This window comes from Homo sapiens, chromosome 4 (assembly GCF_000001405.40).
Source record: "Homo sapiens chromosome 4, GRCh38.p14 Primary Assembly".
Taxonomy (NCBI): Eukaryota; Metazoa; Chordata; class Mammalia; order Primates; family Hominidae; genus Homo; species Homo sapiens.
Genome location: NC_000004.12, coordinates 163,323,962 through 163,348,481, shown reverse-complemented (window position 1 = coordinate 163,348,481; position 24,520 = coordinate 163,323,962). Strand labels below are relative to the sequence as shown.

Sequence of the window (24,520 nt, the reverse complement as noted above, 5' to 3'; positions counted from 1 at the left end):
AATCTTTCTATTTTTTGTGGAGATGGGGCCTGGCTATGTTGCCCAGGCTGGTCTCAAACTCCTGGCCTCAAGTAAACCTCCCACCTTGGCCTCCCAAACTGTTGGGATTATAGGCATGAGAGGCATGAACCACTGTGCCCAGCCACTTTAATGTTCTTTTAACAAGAATTTCCTACAGAAAACACAAACCAACAAAGAAATTAATTCCAATAAATACATTGTCGTAGAGATTGTGATATATATAGTTAAAAAACCACTTTTGTTACCTATCAATATATGTTTATCTACTTATTTCTAGATCTATAATTGAATAATTATACTAAAACTATAAAAATACATGTTTATTTAAATTAATAGTAAACACTGTTATCTTTAATTTATGAGGGACCTGCAGGTCTTCGTTCAATAAATTTCCAAATGGCAAATACTATTGTGTACATACATTCATTACAAATAAGTTTAACTTCAGTTCTATGTGTAGCAAGTTTCAAACAGGATGACAGAGTCATCATTGTGCTATGAGAAAAGTTACAAGTTTTTCACAACTTCTACAAGTGATTCTATGTTGACCAAATTATTTTCTGGAAGCTAACTACATCCTTTTAAAGGATAAGTTAATTCAAAGACTTAGGATTGTATTCATTCATTCTTAGACCCTAGCCAACAATTTACATTGATATTGCCTCAATGACAAAGAACACCTGGTACAAAAGTGACTCGCATGACCTACTGAATCATATTATTCATCATATTCCCAGTCAATGGCCTCTCAGCACCTACTCTGGATAGGTCAGCAAGCTTCTAATCAAAACAGCTTTGACTGGTGCTTTTGCCTAATTTCCTGAGTTCTGATGATCCCCTGGCTCAATTCAGCTTATTCATGATCCTATTTATATTTATAATTGTGTACAGGCTGCTTGTAACTGCAATCCTGCTTAGTTGTTCTTCTCTTGACTTACTTTCTTGAATCAATCCTTTCTTCTAACTTTGTGGCAGGTCAGTTGTTACCGATAGCCTTTCCTTGTAACACCTAAGCAAGAACAAGAGAGAAATTAGATGGCCCCTTCTACAACGGCTTTGTGCCTTTTTGGAACATGTAACTGTGGATGATACTTACTTAGTGTAAAATTGCTGTCCAAAATTTTTTGAAGAAAGAGAAGATGCAGCACAATTTGTGGTAATAGAAACAATGTAGTTTTGAGTCTAAAATTCAGATTTTTCTCCATTCCATGTGGTTAGACCTCTCTATTATATTCGAATGGAGATAAAACTCTTAATTATTTTCATTCTAGAAATGATGTTTAATAAAGCATATTACACATAGTGGATGCTAAGTAAATATTTCTTACCAATCGTTTTAGAAAAGCAGTTTAATTTCCCTTGCTTTAAAATAACAGAAATGAATCATTCTGGCAATGTGGGAAAATTCAGGATAGAGTATGACTATATTTTTGTGTGTACATATATATGTGTGTATATGTATCTTTATATATACATTTATAGAGAACCATTGAAATTATAGATGTTTCAAATGGCCCCAAAATGCAATGAGGAGGAGATACCTAGACAGACAATAAAGATAGTTTAGCACTTTAAATTTGGATAACTTCATTGATAAAGGCTATCACACAAGCAACATGCAACTAAAACTGTAAGATATATTTACAACATTTAAAAAATGTAAATGAAAAAAGAAGTATATCCATTTCCACGACTGTGCAGTCTGTTATTAAAACTTTTATTTTAAATATATGCACATAAAATATTGAATGCATTAAATTGTAAAACCACATCTCCTTAGTAAGAAGATGAAATAAATGCCATCTTGAGTATTCATTGGACACTGGAGAAAAAACTGAGGATGCTTCTTTCATTCCTTAAAACATTTGAGTATTTTAAGAAAGTAGATAATTTATATATAATTTTAAAGGGTAGGCTCCTTCTATTAATGAACAGCTAAGAATGATTAGTTGTTCCTTCTTTTATTCATTCAAAAAGTATTTATTGAACATATATTCTGCTAGGTGCTCTGCTCTGCTCTAAGCATAAAGACGACTAATGCAAGGTGCTATGCCAAGAATATTCTATATAGATTAATTCAAGCTCACACCCTGAGTAACTGTAGATTGCTGAGATATAAAAGGCCCCAAATTGGATGATGAATGAATTAATAAATGAATGGCATTCTCCTGACTGATAGTAATATATTATTTCTCTATAGCATGGACACATGCATTACTGCTGAATATAATGAATACTTTATGTAGCTACTGATAGATTGATAAGCAAATTTAAAAAATTCTCTCTTAGCATTCATTCATTCAACATTCATTTATTCATTTTATTTTGGTGTGACTGTAGTCAACTTTCTCCTGCTCTCCCTCTAGCCCCACCCCACACCATCTACCACATAAACATACACACATGTAATATCTAATATATAGTCTGCACAGAATGAACATTCTGTGAATCTTTGCTCCAATGAAGGAAGAATTTCTTCTTACGACTAAATAATGAATATTGCAAATGCTGGAGGCAGGGAGGGGGGGTGGGGGAGGGGTGGTGGTGGACGTGTAGTTTTTTTAAAAGTGCCTCCTGGTAGCCAGGGGATAGTTTAAACATTAGGAAAATTTTGTACAATAAGATTTAAGTTGAAAATCTAAGGTACAGGAACGCACTTAAAATGAAAAAACAAACAAAAAAGCAGGATTTTTTCCATTAAACTTACCCTTTCCCTTCCTTTTTCCTGAAAAACACAATGAGCAGACCTACAATGGAAATCCAAATTTCAACAAGTGTTATTACGAGTGCTGTACATTTTTATGCAACATATTTTATCTATTATAAAAGTAATGATATATGTGAATCTTCTGAAATTGCTATATAAATTATGAAATATAGCCAGAGAAAAAATATTTTAACATGGAATATTATTTGACAAGAAATCTGATATTGACAGCATGAGACTTTTGTCATACCTAATTACTATATTTACTCATTCTCTTTTGTATTAGTTGTATCTCCCACCATCAGAATTTCCAGGCTGAAACACAGAACTTTAATCTCTGAGTAAAAAGTGTGAAAAATAAAAGTTCTTTATTAAACTATGGCAACTTATAAAAAATAATATCTTTTTAAAGGTTTACTGGAATTTTCTTATAAACTCTTCTATATCTGACACCTAGACAAATGAAACCTTCTGAATAGATTTTAAGTATTTTAAGAAAGTAGATAGTTCTCAAGAATAATAGGAGGAACTGCAGGGAATTCAAAGGATATTAAAAGTCTGACTTGTACATTTAAATAAGGTTTCTTTGTTTGAATAATTTTTTGCTTTATGAAAATACACATCATTCTTTTCACAAAGGATGACAATCACACAAAAGAATAAAATATATGTAATTCTTTTTCCTCCTGCAATGATACAATATCAACTATTGTCTGTTTTGCTGTGATCGTGGAACAGCAGCATGATTCCATGTTCTCAAATATTCCCATGGTTTGTTCTTAAAGCCAGAATCTGGCACAATTTGAATTGGAAAGATAAATACAGCTCTGCTCAGCTGACAAACACACAGGCATGCACCACCCTCCCTTCCAAATTCTAACAGCAGAGTTTCTCTTCCCTTGAGAAATCTGAAATCTAAAATTGCATTCGGACTGCAAAATTCTGCTGAAAGAGCCTTAGGCTATTTTCCATGGTCTAAGGTAAAATCGTTTTGGCTTTGGTCCAACACAACGCCTCAGTTCCTTTAAAAGATTAACTAAAGGTCTGTGAACTTGGAAAAAAGAATTCCCGTTTCTGGAATTCGAGTTCTATGGATGTTTGTTATTGCTCGCATTTGTTATATGAAGACACCTCGCAAACAGGAGCGCAAACCTTAGAGCGCAGCTGCCTCCCGGGCTCGGGTCAGCGCTGGACCGCGCGGCAGCTGGACGGCCTGAGTGGCGCCCCGCGGGCTGCGCCCCCGGCCTCGCCAGAGACCCGCTAGGGTTGAGCCCTGACCCGGGCACCCCGCGGGCTGCTGTTCCCAGCTCCGGATGCCAGCCGGGCTGCAGCCAGAGCGCGTCCAGCCGGGGGCAGCGCTTTGTCCATCCCCCGCCCCATCCCCAGGAGGCTCCTTCGCGGATCCCCGACACTCTCCTCCCGGGTTCGGCCCGCGCCTGCTCCACCCGGGTGAGTTGGGAACCGGAGGGACCTGCTCGGCACGAAAGAATTCAGCCCAGTACCCTCTCCGCTGTCTCTTCACTCCTGACAAGTGCCTGTTCCGCCACCCTAATCCCCATTTTTCCAGCCGCGCTCCCTTCACCTTCCCCACCCCGCTCTCTTGGGACCCCCGACAACGCCCTGGCACCAGAGACGGGTGCGGGCTCCCAGGGACCTGCGCAGACTCGCAGCCCGCGCGGGGACCCGCCACGGCCCCTCGGTGCAGGCCTACCCGGCGCGAAAGGGGTTGGCAGGGAGGGGCGGGAGCCCGTACCTCGGGGCGCCCCGGCCGCTGCAGGCCCTGGGCTCCCGGGAGCGCGGCCCAGCGCGATCGCTCCTGCACCCCGGCGGTGGCGGCAGCAGCGGGAGCAGGACCTGGAGGCGGCGGTGGGGAAGAGGGGGCGGGGGTTTAACGGCGTCTCGAGAACACGTGACTGTTCCGGGGACCCCCGAGACCCTGCTCCAAGGCGCCTGCTCCGCGCCAGCCTCTTCCAAAGCCGGGGGCCGGGGGCGTCCCAGACCTACGCCGCTGTTTGGGCGCTCTAGGGAGAAGCCACAGGGCCCCGGGATGTCGTCCCTTCACCCTGGCCTCGGGTCCCAGGCCGACCAAGTTAACTTGATGGGCAAATCGAGTTTTGCCGGTCCAGCCCTCAACCCTGTGTAGTGAACTCTGAGAAGTCTTGGACTGGTGTGAGGATGGCTGTGCCCCTAAGTTCTTAGTATTCCTGAGAACAAGCTTCGACTCTCAGGTTTTATCTTTGTTTGGGGTGGGGGACGGTGGGGGGTGGTGTGGTGATAGAAAGAAAGAAAGAAAAAAGACAAAACACTGCTCTTCCTTTGCACCTCTTTGAAGTAAGGAAGAGTGGAGGTGGGGAGGCTGACCCAATGTTCAGGAGAGGCAACAGCGTCTGCGGTAATGAGCCCAGCAGAATAGAAGGGAAGTTTCCCCACTCCAAGGAGTGGCAGCTGTGGGTGTGGGCAAGTGGCAGGAGCAGGGGAGTGAAGCTGAAATGAAATCAACGCTGCTCAAGACTATATTCAATAGCAAAGAGAAGACGAAGGGCTAAAAACGAATTGTCACAGGTTAAAAAAAAAAAAAGACGGGAAAAAAGCCCACACAAAAGAAGAAGAGAAAACCTGTCCTTCTGTTCCTTCCCAACATGATTTCCATCCCTAATGTTTCCAAATCTGTATTGCGCAGGTTTGCTTTATTTTTAGCTAATCATTAGGTGGCAGGTACTTTAGGCGCGCGCGCGTGTGTGTGTGTGTGTGTGTGTGTGTGTGTGTGTGTGTCTGTGAGAGAGAGAGAGAGAGAGAAGGAGAGAAGGGAGAAAAGAGACATTGGGTAGATGTCCATGTGTCTTTGGACATAGCTTTACCATGAGAAAGGGTGTAGTTATTGTACCCTTTAATACTGAGAACTATTATGTAACAGACAGCATCTCCTGCTGAGTAGAGTCGTGTGGGATAAACCGAAGAGAACTGTACCCCTTGGGAGCAATGTGACTTGTAATTCTAACATCTGGGGCAGACATCACTGTTACAGAAGAGGTCAAAGAAAATTTTTTGTGTCCCCTTTCTGCTGGATTTCAGCATTCAATACTCAGGGGATCTGTATAGATTGCTATTTCATCAGTCAAAGAGTCATCCAAGAGCTTTTAAAGAACTCAAGTAAACACAGTTCCTGTTTTATTCTTCTGTGTGTTATTTCTGAAATATTAATATATTCTCCCCAAAAGCTTAACAGAATAGGCCGTCTGAGCAGGCACCTGGGATTCTGCAGTAAGGAGTAGGGGATGAAAGTGTCAAGAAGGGATGACCTTGAGAAAATAAGGCTTGTTTTTTAGACTTTCTTAACTCCACTGTCTCTGCGGTTAATGCAGTACACATTGCCACATAAATTTCTATCTTTCCATCTCTTGCACAGTCATAACATGTACACTTCAAATACACATTGTCTTTAAAACAAATTCCAAGTGAACCCCATTGTGACTTTCAAAACACTAGTCTATGCTACAGGCTTTTGCATATTAAAAGTATTAAAAAATCTTATTTTTTATTTTCCACAAATTTGTTTTCTATTTTGATGATATGAACCTTTAGGTTGAAGTCACTGTTATTAGAGTATTGAAAATAAAAGGCTACCTGCCACTGATACAAAGATTCTAATTAACCTGGCTATTTTCCCTTCCCACTGCACCCACAAACAAGCAAGTCTCAAAAACAGGAGTTGGCATTTCTTCTTTAAATACACGTGACAATACACAGTATTAAGAACACTTGGAGTGGACAAGTTATTAAGAGTTTTTTTGAGGAAATTATAAATTTACAAATTTAAGCAATATGCTACATAAAGAGGAAGATATGAAGATAAGTGTGTTTTTACCTTTAAATTTCCCAGGGGGGATTTGAGACTGATCATCATTACTCTTTGTAGAACATAATAATTTTATTTTTATTTTATGGAGTAACATCTTAGCGAAGGGGAATACCAGAACAGAAGTAGTAATGTCCACCTCTGTTTTATGTATTTTTCCTACTCACTATTTATAAAATGCTCATTTGGGAAATTAAGTTGGATTTTATGCATGTTACAAAATTAAACTGGCTATTGCCCTGTTATTACAGTTCATTATCAGTTATGAAAGAAAGCTTATCTGTAAAGGTAAAAGTTAAAGGTGACTTGGGACTCCTAAGACAAATTATTGAACGATAAAACAGTCACCCAACAATTCCTGGGGTAGTATTTTGCTGAGGAACATGGCTGTGGTTCTTGTCAAAGCTACTGCTGCATTTTAATAACAGCTACTATTTGTGGAAAGCAATTACTAAAGTGTTTTGGTATAATCTCAAATGATATTTGACTTTGATATATTAGTTATAGAACAAGTAGAGGTAAATAAACTAGAGAAAACAGTATTATTTTACTTTATGCATTTATTTCTCTGAGAATTTCGTTGTATTCCTTAAGGGTAAATGTTTCTTCATCCACTTTTTCTATCACGGTAAATTTAAATCCTTAATACTTAAAAGATGTGTTATCAAAAATATTTTATGATGCTCTATGCTGCATTGATTTCTTTGGAATAGTAATAATTTGTCACATAAATCAATATTTAGGACTTCAAATGAGGAGCCAACTTCTTATTATGAAATACATGATTTTTTTTTGAACAAAAAAAAAACCCAAAAGCTATTGAAAAGAAGTTTAGCCCAAAGTATTGTGTGCATTGAGTCCATTTCCCAGGCAACTTAACGATAATTGTGAGGTCCTACGGGGGCATCATTAACATTGTATTGACTTCTGATAAACACTGTGCTCCTTAAGCAACACTTTATTTATCCTTTTGATGCCCTAATGATTATACCATAAAACAGTGACTGACTTTCAGAGAGAATGTATAATTATTTTTACTAGCAAATACTCATGTTAAAAATACATACACACATAGATATGATACAGATGTATTTTATATGTTCATGTATTACATACATATTTTTATAATAGACACTTATCAGAACACCTGAGTTGTAGCCAGGCTTGATCTCAAATTAATGGTGTGGCTTTAGATAGGCACTTGATTTTTCAGTCTTCGTTTTCTTTATAAAATGAAATATTTTGAATCGAAGATCTGGAGTCCCCTTTGAGACCTGACTACTTATGACTTTATGCCATTAATTAGCATGCATTACAAACATATGTGTAGAAAAATCATATTTTTAGATCTTCAGAAAAATTTGATAGCCATAGGCATTGTTTATTTTCCCTCTATATTAAAATTTACAAAGAAAATACTGATGCTAAAGTTTTCCATTATTATTGGCACATTCTCTTCTCTGCAGCTAGTATTAACTATATTTCATGTATTCATTTCAAAAAGTTATGGCTGTCTTACATATCAGTACTTCATTCTTTAATTACATTGTTTTTCAGTTTTGCAGCACAAATATATATATATATATATGTACAAGAAGAGAGCATGGATTCCTTTGAAAATATAACATTTTATTATGTCAATCCATATATAGGCCATACAATTATTTCCTTTTGTAGTTTAAAACTCCTCTGAGAAAAGATAAGTATCCTGTAATATTTTTAAAAATGTTTCCATTTCCTATCTATTTTTTGTAGTTAATATTTTAAATCTAATTATAAGTCTAAATATAGCTTTACTATATTTAAGTGGAAATGAAAGGGAAACGGTTTGTTTATATTTGGTATATTGGTTTGTTTTAATCTTTAAAAAGAATGTTTACAGAACTGTTCAAAGCATAAGCTCAGGACCAAAAGTTGAATGATATGCCTTTTAAAATGTATGTTACCACATTCTTAGTCTTATTCTCACACGTAATACAGCTATTAAAATATGTTATTGAACAGGTAGAAAAAAATATGAGACCGTTCCTCAAGTAGACATTATAAGCATTTTCAAAGGAAGTAGGGTCCATATTCAAGTTTATACCTAATAGAGGAGGCAGAGCTAACACATAAGAATATCCAAAAATATGAGGCAGATCATCAGAAGGAGTGTATTAGTAAGCAGACTATGCATAAAATGTATATGCATAAAGTAGCAATCATCCATCATAGCTGCAAATGCTGAAGACACTTTTTTAATGTTTGAGATGAACAAATGGGCTTGATTTGTGATATTCAAAAATTTTTGTAGTCCTACCCTATTCCTAGTTTTTCAATCTTTCAACAAAACTTCTTCAGTATCTTATAATGTGTTAGATGCCCTTCCAGGCTCCTAAGTTTAAGAGATGAAAAAAAAACAGTCACTGTCAGTAAGAAATCAGAGTATAGTTGTAGATATGTGCAGCTACATAATTAATGGCAATACAATGTGATAAGTTCTGCAATTGAAATAAACTCTAGGTTTATTTCTTATTTATATTCCTGGGTAATTCATTCTTAAAAATAAACTGGGGATGTAACAGAGGGCTTTATACCTGAGAAGACACTTGAACTGAAATGTAAAGGGTTGGTAAGAGTTAAACAGGCAGATGGAGGGGATGGAGAATCGAGAAGTGTTGTAATAGCATGAAGGTGAGAGAGTATGAGGCATTCAGAATCATGTAAATGGTTTCGTATGACTGCAGTGTATAGGGTAGAGGATGATACTGAAAATGTTGATTAAAAAGGATGTCTTTGGCCCTTCACTTGAGACACCTGGATGGAAAGCAGCTAAAAGATTTAAACTGGGAAGCTGTATGACTGGATGGCTGTGAAAGAAACTGATGGATTTAGACCATTTAGAAAAGAAATAAGTAGAGCTTGATAGAGGTGAAAGAACACACGTGAGAGATACTTAGGAGATAAAATCAGTGGCAATCTGAGACCAGTTGGATTTGTGAGTGAGAGTGAGAGACGGGAATACATGGGACAATTCTTAGGTTCTGGCTTGAGGGAGAAGAATGATGCTACTGATCAGGTCCATAAGCAGAGAAGCACAATGTCCAAGGAAACCTGAGAGGGATCTGTACTTTTGGTAAAGATTGAGGGTTGGGTACATGCAAGCATGTAGTTGATAGCAGAGGGTGTATTTGTGTGTTAAGAATGAAAAAAGGAGAAGATTAAGATTGGGATCTCTGGTGGATTCTGGTAATTTGGGGGTTGGTCAAGGAAGAAACAAGACCACTAAAAGCACAAGTTTATTTGGGTGGCACTTGCAGGAGGTTGCATGACAGGAGTAGTCCCTCCTAGCAAGAGAACTTCTAGAGACAATGATGTGGGGTACCACCTAGAAGGGGCAGAAGGGGAAAGTAGAGAGGAGACTTACATGTGTGGGTGATGTCACTCAGCAACAAACGGGGGAGCCTCTGGGTCAGAGTCCTCTGAAGGGAGCTGTGGTTTGGTGTCTTTCACAGCTACAAGATTTGTCTTATGTATCGTTAGCAGATGTTGGGTGGAGTTTCATGGGGCATTTAAGAAGGTAGGCTCTAAATGGGCTAAAATTAATTTATTTTTGACTATATTTAGAGCAATTAGATGCGTGAGATTTTGAGGTGGTGCTGGCAGGCTTTGGGCTAAGGGCCTTATCCTGCTGTGAAGAAGCAAACAGTATGGGGACCATTTTAGGCCATCACCCATGGGCCATCTCTCACCCATCTACATAACAGGATCCTAGGGGGAAAAAAAAGCCTAAGAAGTAGATGGAAATAGTAGATCTTGGGAGAGATGACTGAGCAACAGCCAATGAAGAAAAGCCTGAAGTGTGGAGTTGGTGAAGTCAAAGGAAAAAAAGATTCCAGAAACAGTGGATGCTCAGTTGAGTCCATTGCTACATAAAGAACAAATACAAGCAAGTCTGAATTGTGTTCATTGGCTTTGATCATTAGTGTCCTGGGCAGAAACAGTTTCAGGTGGGTCATATTTGAGGAAAAAATGAGGTGACTGTATATGTACCTTATCCTCAAAGAAGCTTGCCAGGAAAGAGAAGCAGCTAGGGAAGATGTGACTCCAGTAAGGGAGTTACTATGAGAAAGAGATGAGCAATTTTGTTTTGGTCTTTATTTTAGTCCTAAGCTAAGAAAAGTGAATTTTTGACTAAACAGGTATTATAGTTATTTTATTGTTGTTTAATAAACCTTCCTCAAACTTAGTGGAATACAACTCATGGATTTTATGCTTATGGACTGCGTGGTGGGACAGCACCTCAGAGGAGCAGAGTGAGATGGCTTGTCTGTCACATGGTGCTTGGGGCCTCGGCTGGGAAACCTCAGCGGGACAGGCTGACTCAAAGCCTGGGGTTGAAACAGCTGGGTTGGAGAACTATTGCCAAAAGGAGGGACTTGAAAGTTAGGGGGTAAATACCCTATGGCGTTTAATTATCCCAAAAAGAAGGAGTCCGTTGAGACTGAGGGTATGAGGTAGGAGGCTGGGAGAGGGGTGGAATTTCAAAATAGCTTCTAAAAGGAGAGAGATTGGTAATCACCCAAGCCAAGGCATTTCTGGGTAATATTTAAGGCTCAGTGAAGGTTTTGAATTTGTAGTTGCAATAATCTGCACAGTTGAGCTTTAACCTACATGCTATGCTAGCGGAGAGTGGCAGCTAAACAATCTCATAAGATCAGGTGGGTCATATTATACCATTGACCATCCTTAGATGTGTGTACTCTTTCTAGATGTATTTGTATCTGGGGAAAGGAAGCAATAGCTAGACCTTAAACAAAGGAATGAAAGGAGGATACTTACCTTAGCAAAATGATGCCTCAGAACATTTCGTGCCATTTTTGCATGCACCTGCTTGTGCTATTATGTAGGTGTACAAAAAAAAAACACTTTCTCCTATTTATTTGTTTATTTATTTAGAGATGCAGTATCACTCTGTTGCCCAGGCTGGAATGCAGTGGTGCAATCTCAGCTCACTGCAACCTCTGCCTCCCAGATTCAAGTGATTCTCCTGCTTCAGCCTCCCGAGTAGCTGGAATTACAGGCACATGCCACCATGCCTGGCTGATTTTTATATTTTTAGTAGAGACAGGGTTTCACCTTGTTGGCCAGGCTGGTCTCGAACTCCTGACCTCAGGTGATCCACCCGCCTTGACCTCCCAAAGTGCTGAGATTACAGGCATGAGCCACTGCACCCAGTCTTTCTCCTTTCTTTAGAAAAAATTATACCTTCATAGCTTTTCTTCATAGGCAAAGTCTGATCTATTGACATTGGCCATCTGAAGTGTTGTGCTGTGAGAAAGTCTAATACCAAGCTTGAGATTTTGGGGAGCGGGAGTCAGGGGCAAGACGACCAAGTAGAGATGTTTGTCACAGATGATGAGAGCTGTTGTGGTGGCATTCATACTTATTCTTTTTGCCAGCTATTTTTATTTTGTCTCTTCAAAAGAATATATGAAGGGAATAGTAATAATAATTATTAAAAACAGTAATAGTAACAGTGGCAAAGCTCCTTTCATTATATCATATAGTAAAAACATAATGTTATGGTTTTGTAATATAACATTACACTTTTTTTTGAATGTCTAAAGGGTATCTGAAAGTATAAGGCATGCAGAAAAAGATTTGGCTATTTACTAAATTTTAAGATCCTACTTGTCTAGAGCCTTATTGTGACAGAGTTTTTAAAAATGCCCCGAAATATGCAGCCCATGTAACAAAATGAGAACTTTACTGAAAGGCATTCACATTTCAAATCAAGATCAAGAGAAAATCCACAAATAGTATTGTGTGTTTTCTGCACAAAGGAGATCATTGAATTGTCTGTGCACTTGTATACTCACATTTTTAACTAAATTAATCATCACTTTTTTTCTGCTAGTTAATGCTCTCCAAAAGTCAGATGAATAAAATGATTGTACTGACTATTTGATTGTGCTGATTAAGTCAAAACTCTTTACCAACTATATTTCATTGGCTTTAAAATGTGGGCTTAAAAAGCATTTTAATATTTTAATATTCATTTGCTATTGATGGTATGCCATTGCTTTACTGAAAGCATTTTTTTCTTGGTGGTCCATAAAATAAAATTGTGCTTTACATTCTTGGGCGTCAAAGATCCAAAGAAATGCAGCAGGTAAGTCACAGAAAGAAGGAAAATCCTGACACAAAATCAATTCATAGAATATGAACTGATTCACTGACGTGCTTCATCATAGTTCTACCCCCATGGAATTACCCCCTTATCAATGTCATATACATTTCAGTTTTCTCGTGTAGTATTAATGCCTATTAAGTTTCTTCTGAGTGACAATTCATGGTAATTTACCTGTATCAAGGCCTGATAGCATTTCAGAAACTTTAACTCTTGTAGCAGAAATTCCTCAGAAGACTAGTAATTAGTGTGTTTCAATTCCAGTAGCAAGCATACTGTCACACTTTTATTTAAGCAGTTACTGAATCATGGAATTTAAAGGCTGAGCCAGGCCATAAGTTTGTTCCATTGTTTAGAATACAAAACTTAGATTTACAGAAATTTAATGAGTAGATCCTATCCCTCAGTTTATATCACAGAGCAAGACTGTTGTTCAAGAGAGCATGAGATTAGGTCATTAACATAATTCCCCTTGGTTTATAGGTCAGGCTGTTATGAAACTACAGAAAGAAATACACAGAAATAAAGAAAAAATTCTCCCTAGCAAAGATGAAGTTTTATCTAGTTTGAATCCCAGATAGGAAAGTAGGCAGCTGATTATTCACTGAAGAGTAGAAAAATATATGATCTTAAAATTGGAATGAGGAAACTCTTTAATAAGTATTTTCTAAGAAATTCAAACTACTTTGCATATTTTAAATCTTCTATAAGATTACATTATTGGAGAATTTTATGTTGTGTTTGGCCATTGGACCATGTCTAATTTCTCTATTTTTCACATTGGAAAGAATCCTAGTAAATGGTATTCCTAAAGAATTATATAATTTTGCTGTTGAGCATTTCTTTTTTTTTTTTTTTTTTTTTCCAAAACAGAGTCTTGCTCTGTTGCCCAGGCTGGAGTGCAGTCGTGCGATCTCGGCTCACTGCAACCTCTGCCTCTTGGGTTCAAGCAGTTCTCCTGCCTCAGCCTCCTGAGTAGCTGGGATTACAGATGCGCACCACCACACCTGGCTAATTTTTGTATTTTTAGTAGAGACGGGGTTTCACTATGTTGGCCAGCCTGGTCTCGAACTCCTGACCTCATGATCCACCTGCCTAGGCCTCCAAAAGTGCTGGGATTACAGGCGTGAGCCACCGCCCCCAGCCACTGTTGAGTATTTCAGAACTTCTCTTTGTATCATAAAGTTGTCATAGAAAAGAGTCCTTGAGACCAATGATCTTTCAAAGATTGGTATCTGACATTAATAACTCAAGAATGCAGTTTCACAAATTTTCCTTAGGGAGAACACTTCATAAAAATTGAGTTAATAAAATGATAAAATACAATGGCCATAATAGTTCAGAACTCTGGCAGACATGCCTTTATTAGTATTCTTGGGAAATAGAGAAAGCATAGTACCTGAGTCCAAATTATATTCTCAAGTCCAAAATATTTGCTGACATAATAATAGTTTCTACATAAAAATATATTCTTAGTAGAGAATTAAATTACTTCATTTGTAATTCTTATAGCAGGCTAAAGATAGCCAATTTGATGATCAAAACCATGGGGAAAACTTCCTTCTAAGAACAGAATGTGACTTAAGGCAATAGAGTAGACAGAGGATGCATAGAAACCTGAATGAATATTAGTTATTCTTCCCTGAAAGAGTTGAAATTCCTAAATTGTGCCTTGGTAAAAATTATTGTGCCTTGGTTAAAAAAAAAAGTATGTGTGTGTATATGTGTGTGTGTGTATAAATGAATCTGTTGTCATTTTACTCTGCTTAACCATTAGAGATTTTTATATGTATGCTTATATCTGTTGTTATACACTAATAGTACAATCATTACATAATCATGACATTTTAATTCTTAATTACAATGCCTTTCCAACTATATAAAAATATGTCTAGTGACACATATTTTGGAAAGCTTTCTTGGAAAAACATCCAGAGATTGTGTTCATCACTATCTATATAAATGAGCTTATACTGAACCTTAAATATGTTTATTCAGCCTAACAATCAGAAAAAGAAAACGTTTTTTAACAGTATAAAGTTCAGATGAGTCCACTTGTCTTGGAATTTTATTTTGATTTTAATTAGAAGAAAGACTGCCATTAGAATTGTTTTCTAATGAAATCTTTATAAATTCTCTGGGCAGTGCCCTGTATCTTTATTAGAAAGACTTCTTATTTTTAACAATTTTATTTGGAAGAAGTTCTACTCATTTGCATCAGTTCATCGTCTACATAATTTGTGTGTGTGTGTGTGTATGTGTGTGTTTACAACTTTGACTTTTGAAACTAGAATAGAATCAGGTAAAACATCTAAGATCAGTGTGCCAGTAATTGGCCTGAATCATCGGGCACCATGATGGGTTTGGCCGCCTTCAACGTACTCGGTGTACATTCTATTTTTTTCTTCATAATGTTCAGTACTGTAGTACTAATCACCGAGAAAATTGCATTGACGCTTTTCGACCACCAGGGAAATATTCAGCTCATGGTTCTCCCCTAAAAAAACTAAAAAGCAGCTAAGCGCTGGGAACAAATCTGACTTAATGCATTTTCTCAGTGGGCCAAAGAAAGGAGGGCCGATTGACTGCTTTGACTTTTTAAAGGTCTTCTCTTTGTTCACTTATAAAGTGAGGAAAACAAATTCTCGGCACTGGCGTGAGAGTTATTTGAGCGTCACAAAAGAAAGCAAAAGAAAATATTAGTGCCATTATTGTGGCGAATTTCATGTTTCCCAGCGAGCCCTTTGATTCCTGGTTTGGGCTGGCGCTCGAGCTCTCCAGCCGGGTATGACTTCGGCCACAAGATGGCACTGACCTGCAAACAAAGAAAAGCACAGTGGCACCGACTTTTTCAAGCCTCGGGAAACTGCCCTGCCTTCCCCGGAGTCGAGGACTGTGGGGATTAGGGCTTCCTTTCCCCTGCGCGGGAGGTCTGTGTCGAATAATGTGTGGCTTCTGTTGGATTGCTTTTCTTTCCAAAATTCCTAGGCAATGCTTCCCCGAGGTGTGCACCTTTGTGAGGTGTTTGTGGGGTTGGGGGAGCTTCAGGCGCTACTCGCGGGACGCCGTCACGTGATCCGGGATGAGGTGGAGTTCGGCTTTAAGGAGGCGTCTCTTCCTAGCTTCATCAATCTTTAGGATCTGAGCAGGAGAAATACCAGCGGATCTTCCCCACTCTGCTCCCTTCCATTCCCACCCTTCCTTCTTTAATAAGCAGGAGCGAAAAAGACAAATTCCAAAGAGGGTAAGTTGCGAGTTTATGCCTTTCCAGAGACTTCTGCGAAATCTCTCATTGACAAGGTGAAGGATGAGAGGGGAAGAAAAACGATGCGAGTGTCCGAAACTGGCTCTGGGGGACCAAGGTGGGGTCTCCAGTGCAGGCAGGTCGCAGGTTGCTCCAAATCACCGGACCGTTCGCGGGCTCCTGCCGAAGGGTATGGGGACGACGCGGGTGAAAGGAGAGGGTACCCTACGCGGAGTTCGGGCTTTCCCACCACCTGCTCCCGGGGAATTTCTGGATGGGGATCCAAGTTTTCCTTTACCCCGGTTCTCTTTAAAAGGCCGAGGCACTGGGAAGGCGCCCGAGTTCGCCTATCCCACACCCGCTCATTTTCCTTACGTGTCTTGAGCTGGCTGGAGGCGCTGGCTCTGGCCGCACCGGAGTTTTCGCGGAGTAACTGGCTGGGATGAGCCGGAGAAGGGTGGGCTTGGCGCGTCGCCCAGCGTCGCACGGGTCCCGCGGCAGGTGTCGGGCTGGGAGCTGGCGGAGGTGGGAGTAGCCCTCGGCGCGGACCCCAGCGCGCAAGCCCACCCCCACTTGCGGGTTCCGCGCTTCTCGGCTGCAATCGAGCCGCGCTCCGCAGTACCGGGCGCTTCGAGTGTGGCGCTGCGCCCCGATAGACACCCGAAGCTTTTAATCATCGGAGTTCTAATCAGGGAACTCTTTAGCTCTTTCTTTTAGAAAAGTAATGATGGAACGTGGCTGGGTTAGGAGATTGGGAATGGACAGGAGGTGGAGGTGTCTTGATAGGGTGTGCCATTGGTTCCCAGGTAGACTGGAGAGATAAGAATGTTTTAAGGTCTGATGTTGGGCCAAAGAGAGAGAATTGACTTCGGTTTGGGATCTGCTTGGTTTTGGTTGTTTATATCTTTTCTCTTTTGCCAGTCTCTTATCACTGGTAGAAAGGTTTTTTGATGAGAGAGAGAGAGAGAGTGAGAGTGTGTGTATGTGTGTGTAGTAGGGAGTCAGGAATGGAGTAAATTTCGGGCGATTCACCTAGTTACGCAATATGAAAAAGGTGGGTGGGTAAGCGTGCCAACAGGAATTTTGACTGAACATGTCCCATTTCCCATTTCGTTGTTTGATAACTTCTGGAGCACAGGAAAAACCTAGGGGAGAGGAGCAAAAGAGAGTGTGTTTCCATGTACACACACTCACACTCACACACACACAGAGCACGCATTGCTTCCCCCACTCCCCATCCTATGAGAAAGCATGACGGGCGGGATGGCACACACAGGCAGGGGACATGTGGAGCTTGTCTGTCAGGTCTGGAACAGAAAAGCAGTAGCTGTTTGTTCTCGACCCTGGGCCGGCTCTCTGGCGAAGCAAGCGAGGGAGCAGAAAGCTAACCCGACCAGGTTCCCCACCCAGGACTAGACCGAGTGCTCTTCCGTGACTACTACTTTATTAGTCTTTATTGTCTTAAGGCAGCAGTCTGTTGAACAAGCCCTCCCCAGCAAGGAAGGAGCAGAGAATTATGTAATTCATTTAGATAAGCTAGCAGTAACTTTGGGAGGCTGTATGTAACAAGGCTGACATTTCTTTTCCAACACAAGTGAGGTGAACAGCCAGCCAATCCTGAGTATTTGAAAAAATGTATCTGCAGCAGGTTATGATCAGGGAGCTGTATTTTCAAGTAGTAACAGCACTGCGAAGAGCAAGCAATGAAAGGCCAGCATTCTAATTGGAAAGAAAGAAGAGGAAATTTCCCTCTGCAAGGGGGCTAATTTGCCAACTGGTGATGTATGTAATGTCTGTTTTGTCTCTATATGCACATGGCAGCTACACTGAGATTTAACAGTCTTTAATTTTTGCAGTTTCTGCAGTTGCATAGCTTATTTTACAAATTATATTAGAATAGTAAATATCAAATTATTTTCTTTTGCAAAGATAAAGTGTGTAAATTCTCTCTTAGTATTGTTATTTTCTGACAGTTATTCTTTCTTGAAATTACACTAAGGTAAACTGAAAATACACATTTATCCAATGCAGAATTGGTTTACACAACTGGAATAACTATCAAATGTGCACTTAGTAAAATAGGCTTGAAAACACCTTAAAAAAATAAACTTTTCATTTTCTCTATAGCTAAATTAACTTCTACCTAGTAAGAAAAATGCTTCCTCATTGGGCATGCCTATTAAATACAATTTCAAAGGTATCAGGCTAGAGCTTCAGTACGTTTACCTGAACTCATCTGTAAGAAAGCTATGTTTGTAGCCTGTACTTTGCAATAATTTAATGTCTGTGTGAATTCTTATATGTATTCATTTTTGCCAAAATCAGTCAGTGGATAGAATATTTCTGTTTCTTTTTCTCCATGGTATACATCTTGGTCTCTGTCCCTATTATTTCTCGCCAAAATTATTGCACTAGCTTTCTAATGAATCTCCCCATTTCTTCTCTTTCCTTGAGTGTGTTGAAAACAGCAGCGAGAATAGTAATTTTAAATCAAAAGTCATAAAACTTCACACCTTTGCCAAAGACTCTCCAGAGGCTCCCCAGCTCTCTCAGGATTATAGGCACAGACCATAAAAAAAAAAGGCTCTACAGTCTGTACCCCCCTCTTTAGCCTTCCTAATTAATTTCCTAAGAGTCCCTCCCTTATTTATCCTACTTCTTATTGCTACTTAGCACACCAGTTACACATGGGCCTTAGGGATTTTTGTTCTTTCCATATGGGATGCAATCCCTGAGATACTTGCATAGCTTCCCTACTCACCACTCCTCTCAGGTCTTAACTTACATGCCTTCTTCTCAGACAGTCAGAGGCCATCTTTTACAGTCAAGTAATAAATTGCAGCTCCCCCAAATCCCAGTTTCTCTTTCTTTTTTTTTTTTTGAGACGGAGTCTTGCTCTGTCACCCAGGCTGGAGTGCGGTGGCCTGAACTTGGCTCACTGCAACCTCTGCCTCCCAGGTTCAAGCAATTCTCCTGCCACAGCCTCCCGAGTAGCTGGGACTACAGGTGTGCTCCACTCCGCCTGGCTGATTTTTGTATTTTTAGTAGAGACAAGGTTTCACCATGTTGGCCAGGCTGATCTCAAACTCTTGACTTCAGGTGATCCGCCTCGGCCTCCCGAAATGCTGGGATTACAGGTGTGAGCCACCTCGCCCGGCCCCAGTCCCTCTTTCTTGCTTTGTTTTACTTCATAATATGTATTATCATCTAGCATACTATATCTTTTACTAATTTTTTTCTTGTCTTTCTCTGCCCACAAGACTAGAAACACAGTGAGAAGGTCACATTATCTCCAGTAAAACCATGCCTAACACAAAATAAATGTTTAATTAATATTTGTTGAATGAATAAATTTTCTTTCAGAAATAATATTTTTATATAAAGTGTAACATTTTCCCCTATATACATGACCTAGGAGTACGGCTGTTGTGATTAGCATACATTTTGCCTGTTCAAGGACTATGATGGAATTGAGCTATTGATGTTAGGATTAATTTACCCAAGAACCTACTATTCCAACCATGCATCAGTTATATCAGTCAACACAGTTTTATTCTAAGTCTAATACTTGCAAGGTACTATGAAGTATGCACAATGCCTACCTCAAAGATGTTATATTAAAAATGAGAGGAGCCAACTAAGGATTCTAGGGACTAAATGGTGCTTTGAAAGATGGGTAGAGTTTGGATTGGTGGTGGGAGAGAGAGAACACCCAGCAAGAGGAATGGCGGAGGTGGAGACGCAGAGCTATATTTGGTAGACTGTGAACAGACTCACCTGCCTAGAGCAGTGTATTCACATTGGGATTATTAGAGTAAAGTGTGGACAAGAGGTATAATGCAGAGGTCTTAATGTGTCAGGCTGGGGAATGTACTTAGTATTCTGTCTCTCATGTGTCTCAAACCAGGGTCCTCATTCACCTGTTGGTACTTGGTGACAAGGATAAAAAGCTTTTCCCTACTCTGCTAGTTTTACTTCAAATAATGAAGGGAAACTTATAATTAATTGATAAGTCATGTTAAATATCTCTGTAGCAACTTAAATAGGAAATATGATGCTAAATTTTCTTGAATTCTTAAAATAAGAGATTTCCAAATAATTTGAAGTTATTACTGCTCTTTTGAGATTGTTTTCAAACTCTGACAATCGCTGATCATTCTCTCTGCCTTTGGAATTCTTGAGAGACAAAGTGTGGTTATCACATAAGTATTAGGGAGTCATTACAGGTTGATGCATAGAGGAAGAGAGAGCCACGTTTCTAATAACACTCATACCTGAAATCATTCCATTACCATTCTTTAATAGTTTCATTCTGACTTCATTGTAGCAACTCTTACTTTATTCTTCTTAAGTTTTTAAGGCCAAATCATGGTTTCATAATAAAAAAAAAAAAACTCATGTTCTAGAAAGCACAAAAATTAAAGGAAAGGTTTATTAGAGGCATTAAGTAAAAGGCAAATGCATTTCTTGTTCATTAAGTTTTTTATCTTTCTTTCAATGGAAGTAACTCTGCATGATTTTCTTTATTGGTCTTATTTAAGAAAGAAAAGAATGAAATTCAGTTTCTTAATACAAGCATGATGGCCTGTTAATTAACATAAGAAACTCCGTCTCACATATTTACTTAGTAATCTAGGGAATATCAGACTTATTTTTGAAAAGGAGTTTTTAAAATAATTTCAAACTTTTTAAAACTCTACAAGTCTGTGATTTGTGTTGTTAATAAGAGAAAAATGTATCACAAAGTGCTGTGAAAAATCAAAATTACAATTAAAATCTAGATCCTTGCATTGGGCACACATATAGTCTGGTGGGTAGGGAAGATATTTACATAAATAATACCTTAGAAATCCTTGAAAGCTTCTAACATATTAATAAAATAACAGACTCTTAAAGTTAGAATCTCCCACACAATATAGAAACTCTCTGAAATGGTTTTTCATATGGTGGTTATAAAATTTGTATATGGAACACTTGCTAGATTTGCAGGCAAATAATTCCATTTTACTAAACTTTTGTTCCTCACAATGATGTGATTAAAAAAATAATGTGCACCTCTTGGTCCTACTTTTAACTTGTACATATAATTAGATGTAACATTCTAAGCTCAACGCTGTGTTCTACATGCTACCCATTAAAATACAAGAAGACATCTGTACCATTCCTACTAAGTATTTTCCGGATTAAACATTGTCTAGTCTCTCAATAGTCATTCATGGCAAAGTTTTTTGATGTTTCACTGTAGTGATCATCTTTTGTTGAATATGTTTGTGCTGAATAACATCTGCCCTAAAAAGCAGTGCAGTGTATGTATGGTGGAGCTATTGCTATAACTTGACCTTGACACTAATTCTTCCATTTCTATAGCATATGGCAGAATTAGGTAATTTATTTTCTTTTGCTTTGTTTGTTTATTTTTCTTATGTTTTAATCTGTGCATTAAGTGGTTTTTATACATTCATATTCTTATAATGTTTAGGAATGTGCTGTTATTACTGTTTATGTAAGACTTGGGGCATAATATTTATATTCCTTACTAACTTATAGACCATTATGTTTTACTAAGACTTGTTCTGTAAGCAAGTCCAATTAAAAATTTTATTTTTTCTTTATTCAGTATGTTTTCACCATTTCTGCTATTTTAGAAAGATGTTTACAAGATTACATTTTGTTTATTTATTTCAGTGTTTTCACTTTAAAGAGTTCTGTGAGTCAGAAGTCATTTTGACTGCCCTCAATAAAATTAGTAATGCAATTGGTCATTTTCTCTTTACAGATTGTTCAGTTCAAGGGAATGAAGAATTCAGAATAATTTTGGTAAATGGATTCCAATATGGGGAATAAGAATAAGCTGAACAGTTGACCTGCTTTGAAGAAACATACTGTCCATTTGTCTAAAATAATCTATAACAACCAAACCAATCAAAATGAATTCAACATTATTTTCCCAGGTTGAAAATCATTCAGTCCACTCTAATTTCTCAGAGAAGAATGCCCAGCTTCTGGCTTTTGAAAATGATGATTGTCATCTGCCCTTGGCCATGATATTTACCTTAGCTCTTGCTTATGGAGCTGTGATCATTCTTGGTGTCTCTGGAAACCTGGCCTTGATCATAATCATCTTGAAACAAAAGGAGATGAGAAATGTTACCAACATCCTGATTGTGAACCTTTCCTTCTCAGACTTGCTTGTTGCCATCATGTGTCTCCCCTTTACATTTGTCTACACATTAATGGACCACTGGGTCTTTGGTGAGGCGATGTGTAAGTTGAATCCTTTTGTGCAATGTGTTTCAATCACTGTGTCCATTTTCTCTCTGGTTCTCATTGCTGTGGAACGACATCAGCTGATAATCAACCCTCGAGGGTGGAGACCAAATAATAGACATGCTTATGTAGGTATTGCTGTGATTTGGGTCCTTGCTGTGGCTTCTTCTTTGCCTTTCCTGATCTACCAAGTAATGACTGATGAGCCGTTCCAAAATGTAACACTTGATGCGTACAAAGACAAATACGTGTGCTTTGATCAATTTCCATCGGACTCTCATAGGTTGTCTTATACCACTCTCCTCTTGGTGCTGCAGTATTTTGGTCCACTTTGTTTTATATTTATTTGCTACTTCAAGGTAAGAAAACTTTTTTTCTATCATTTCCATTTTTACCTTCTTTACACAGAATTCCTCATCAAATGAGTGTTTCTATTTAAACTTTTTTCTTCCATAGATATATATACGCCTAAAAAGGAGAAACAACATGATGGACAAGATGAGAGACAATAAGTACAGGTCCAGTGAAACCAAAAGAATCAATATCATGCTGCTCTCCATTGTGGTAGCATTTGCAGTCTGCTGGCTCCCTCTTACCATCTTTAACACTGTGTTTGATTGGAATCATCAGATCATTGCTACCTGCAACCACAATCTGTTATTCCTGCTCTGCCACCTCACAGCAATGATATCCACTTGTGTCAACCCCATATTTTATGGGTTCCTGAACAAAAACTTCCAGAGAGACTTGCAGTTCTTCTTCAACTTTTGTGATTTCCGGTCTCGGGATGATGATTATGAAACAATAGCCATGTCCACGATGCACACAGATGTTTCCAAAACTTCTTTGAAGCAAGCAAGCCCAGTCGCATTTAAAAAAATCAACAACAATGATGATAATGAAAAAATCTGAAACTACTTATAGCCTATGGTCCCGGATGACATCTGTTTAAAAACAAGCACAACCTGCAACATACTTTGATTACCTGTTCTCCCAAGGAATGGGGTTGAAATCATTTGAAAATGACTAAGATTTTCTTGTCTTGCTTTTTACTGCTTTTGTTGTAGTTGTCATAATTACATTTGGAACAAAAGGTGTGGGCTTTGGGGTCTTCTGGAAATAGTTTTGACCAGACATCTTTGAAGTGCTTTTTGTGAATTTATGCATATAATATAAAGACTTTTATACTGTACTTATTGGAATGAAATTTCTTTAAAGTATTACTATTAACTGACTTCAGAAGTACCTGCCATCCAATACGGTCATTAGATTGGGTCATCTTGATTAGATTAGATTAGATTAGATTGTCAACAGATTGGGCCATCCTTACTTTATGATAGGCATCATTTTAGTGTGTTACAATAGTAACAGTATGCAAAAGCAGCATTCAGGAGCCGAAAGATAGTCTGAAGTCATTCAGAAGTGGTTTGAGGTTTCTGTTTTTTGGTGGTTTTTGTTTGTTTTTTTTTTTTTTCACCTTAAGGGAGGATTTAATTTGCTCCCAACTGATTGTCACTTAAATGAAAATTTAAAAATGAATAAAAAGACATACTTCTCAGCTGCAAATATTATGGAGAATTGGGGCACCCACAGGAATGAAGAGAGAAAGCAGCTCCCTAACTTCAAAACCATTTTGGTACCTGACAACAAGAGCATTTTAGAGTAATTAATTTAATAAAGTAAATTAGTATTGCTGCAAATAGTTAAATTATATTTATTTGAATTGATGGTCAAGAGATTTTCCATTTTTTTTACAGACTGTTCAGTGTTTGTCAAGCTTTCTGGCATAAATATGTACTCAAAAGGCATTTCCGCTTACAATTTGTAGAAACACAAAATGCGTTTTCCATACAGCAGTGCCTATATAGTGACTGATTTTTAACTTTCAATGTCCATCTTTCAAAGGAAGTAACACCAAGGTACAATGTTAAAGGAATATTCACTTTACCTAGCAGGGAAAAATACACAAAAACTGCAGATACTTCATATAGCCCATTTTAACTTGTATAAACTGTGTGACTTGTGGCGTCTTATAAATAATGCACTGTAAAGATTACTGAATAGTTGTGTCATGTTAATGTGCCTAATTTCATGTATCTTGTAATCATGATTGAGCCTCAGAATCATTTGGAGAAACTATATTTTAAAGAACAAGACATACTTCAATGTATTATACAGATAAAGTATTACATGTGTTTGATTTTAAAAGGGCGGACATTTTATTAAAATCAATATTGTTTTTGCTTTTTCTGA

The 24,520-nt window shown here is 38.5% G+C and overlaps 2 protein-coding genes across 12 annotated transcripts in view; one reads left to right on the top strand and one right to left on the bottom strand.

Annotated features, from left to right (window-relative positions):
* Positions 1–4,590, bottom strand: part of NPY5R (neuropeptide Y receptor Y5) — an 8,512-nt gene extending 3,922 nt beyond the window's left edge. For 3 of the 9 annotated variants that reach the window (XM_011532017.3, XM_017008256.2, NM_001317092.2), the window contains exons 1-4: positions 4,482–4,590; positions 2,729–2,768; positions 1,118–1,245; positions 960–1,030 (exon numbers count right to left, since the gene is read on the bottom strand). The gene's annotated coding sequence lies outside the window, so the exon portion shown is untranslated. Of the gene's footprint in view, positions 1–959; positions 1,031–1,117; positions 1,246–2,728; positions 2,769–2,978; positions 4,381–4,481 lie in introns of those variants that run through there. The other 6 variants (XM_005263038.4, XM_011532015.3, NM_006174.4 and 3 more) reach the window with 4 other exon arrangements.
* Positions 3,793–24,520, top strand: NPY1R (neuropeptide Y receptor Y1). 3 transcript variants are annotated; one of them, XM_005263031.5, is made up of 3 exons: positions 3,793–4,177; positions 21,777–22,626; positions 22,724–24,520. In XM_005263031.5, exons 2-3 carry the CDS (start codon positions 21,928–21,930, stop codon positions 23,177–23,179), a joined length of 1,155 nt encoding a protein of 384 aa, XP_005263088.1. In that variant the 5' UTR covers positions 3,793–4,177; positions 21,777–21,927; the 3' UTR covers positions 23,180–24,520. The 3 variants fall into 3 exon arrangements, with proteins under 3 accessions (XP_005263088.1, NP_000900.1, XP_011530312.1); NM_000909.6 differs by lacking the exon at positions 3,793–4,177 and adding an exon at positions 15,886–16,000; XM_011532010.4 differs by lacking the exon at positions 3,793–4,177 and adding an exon at positions 15,886–17,782.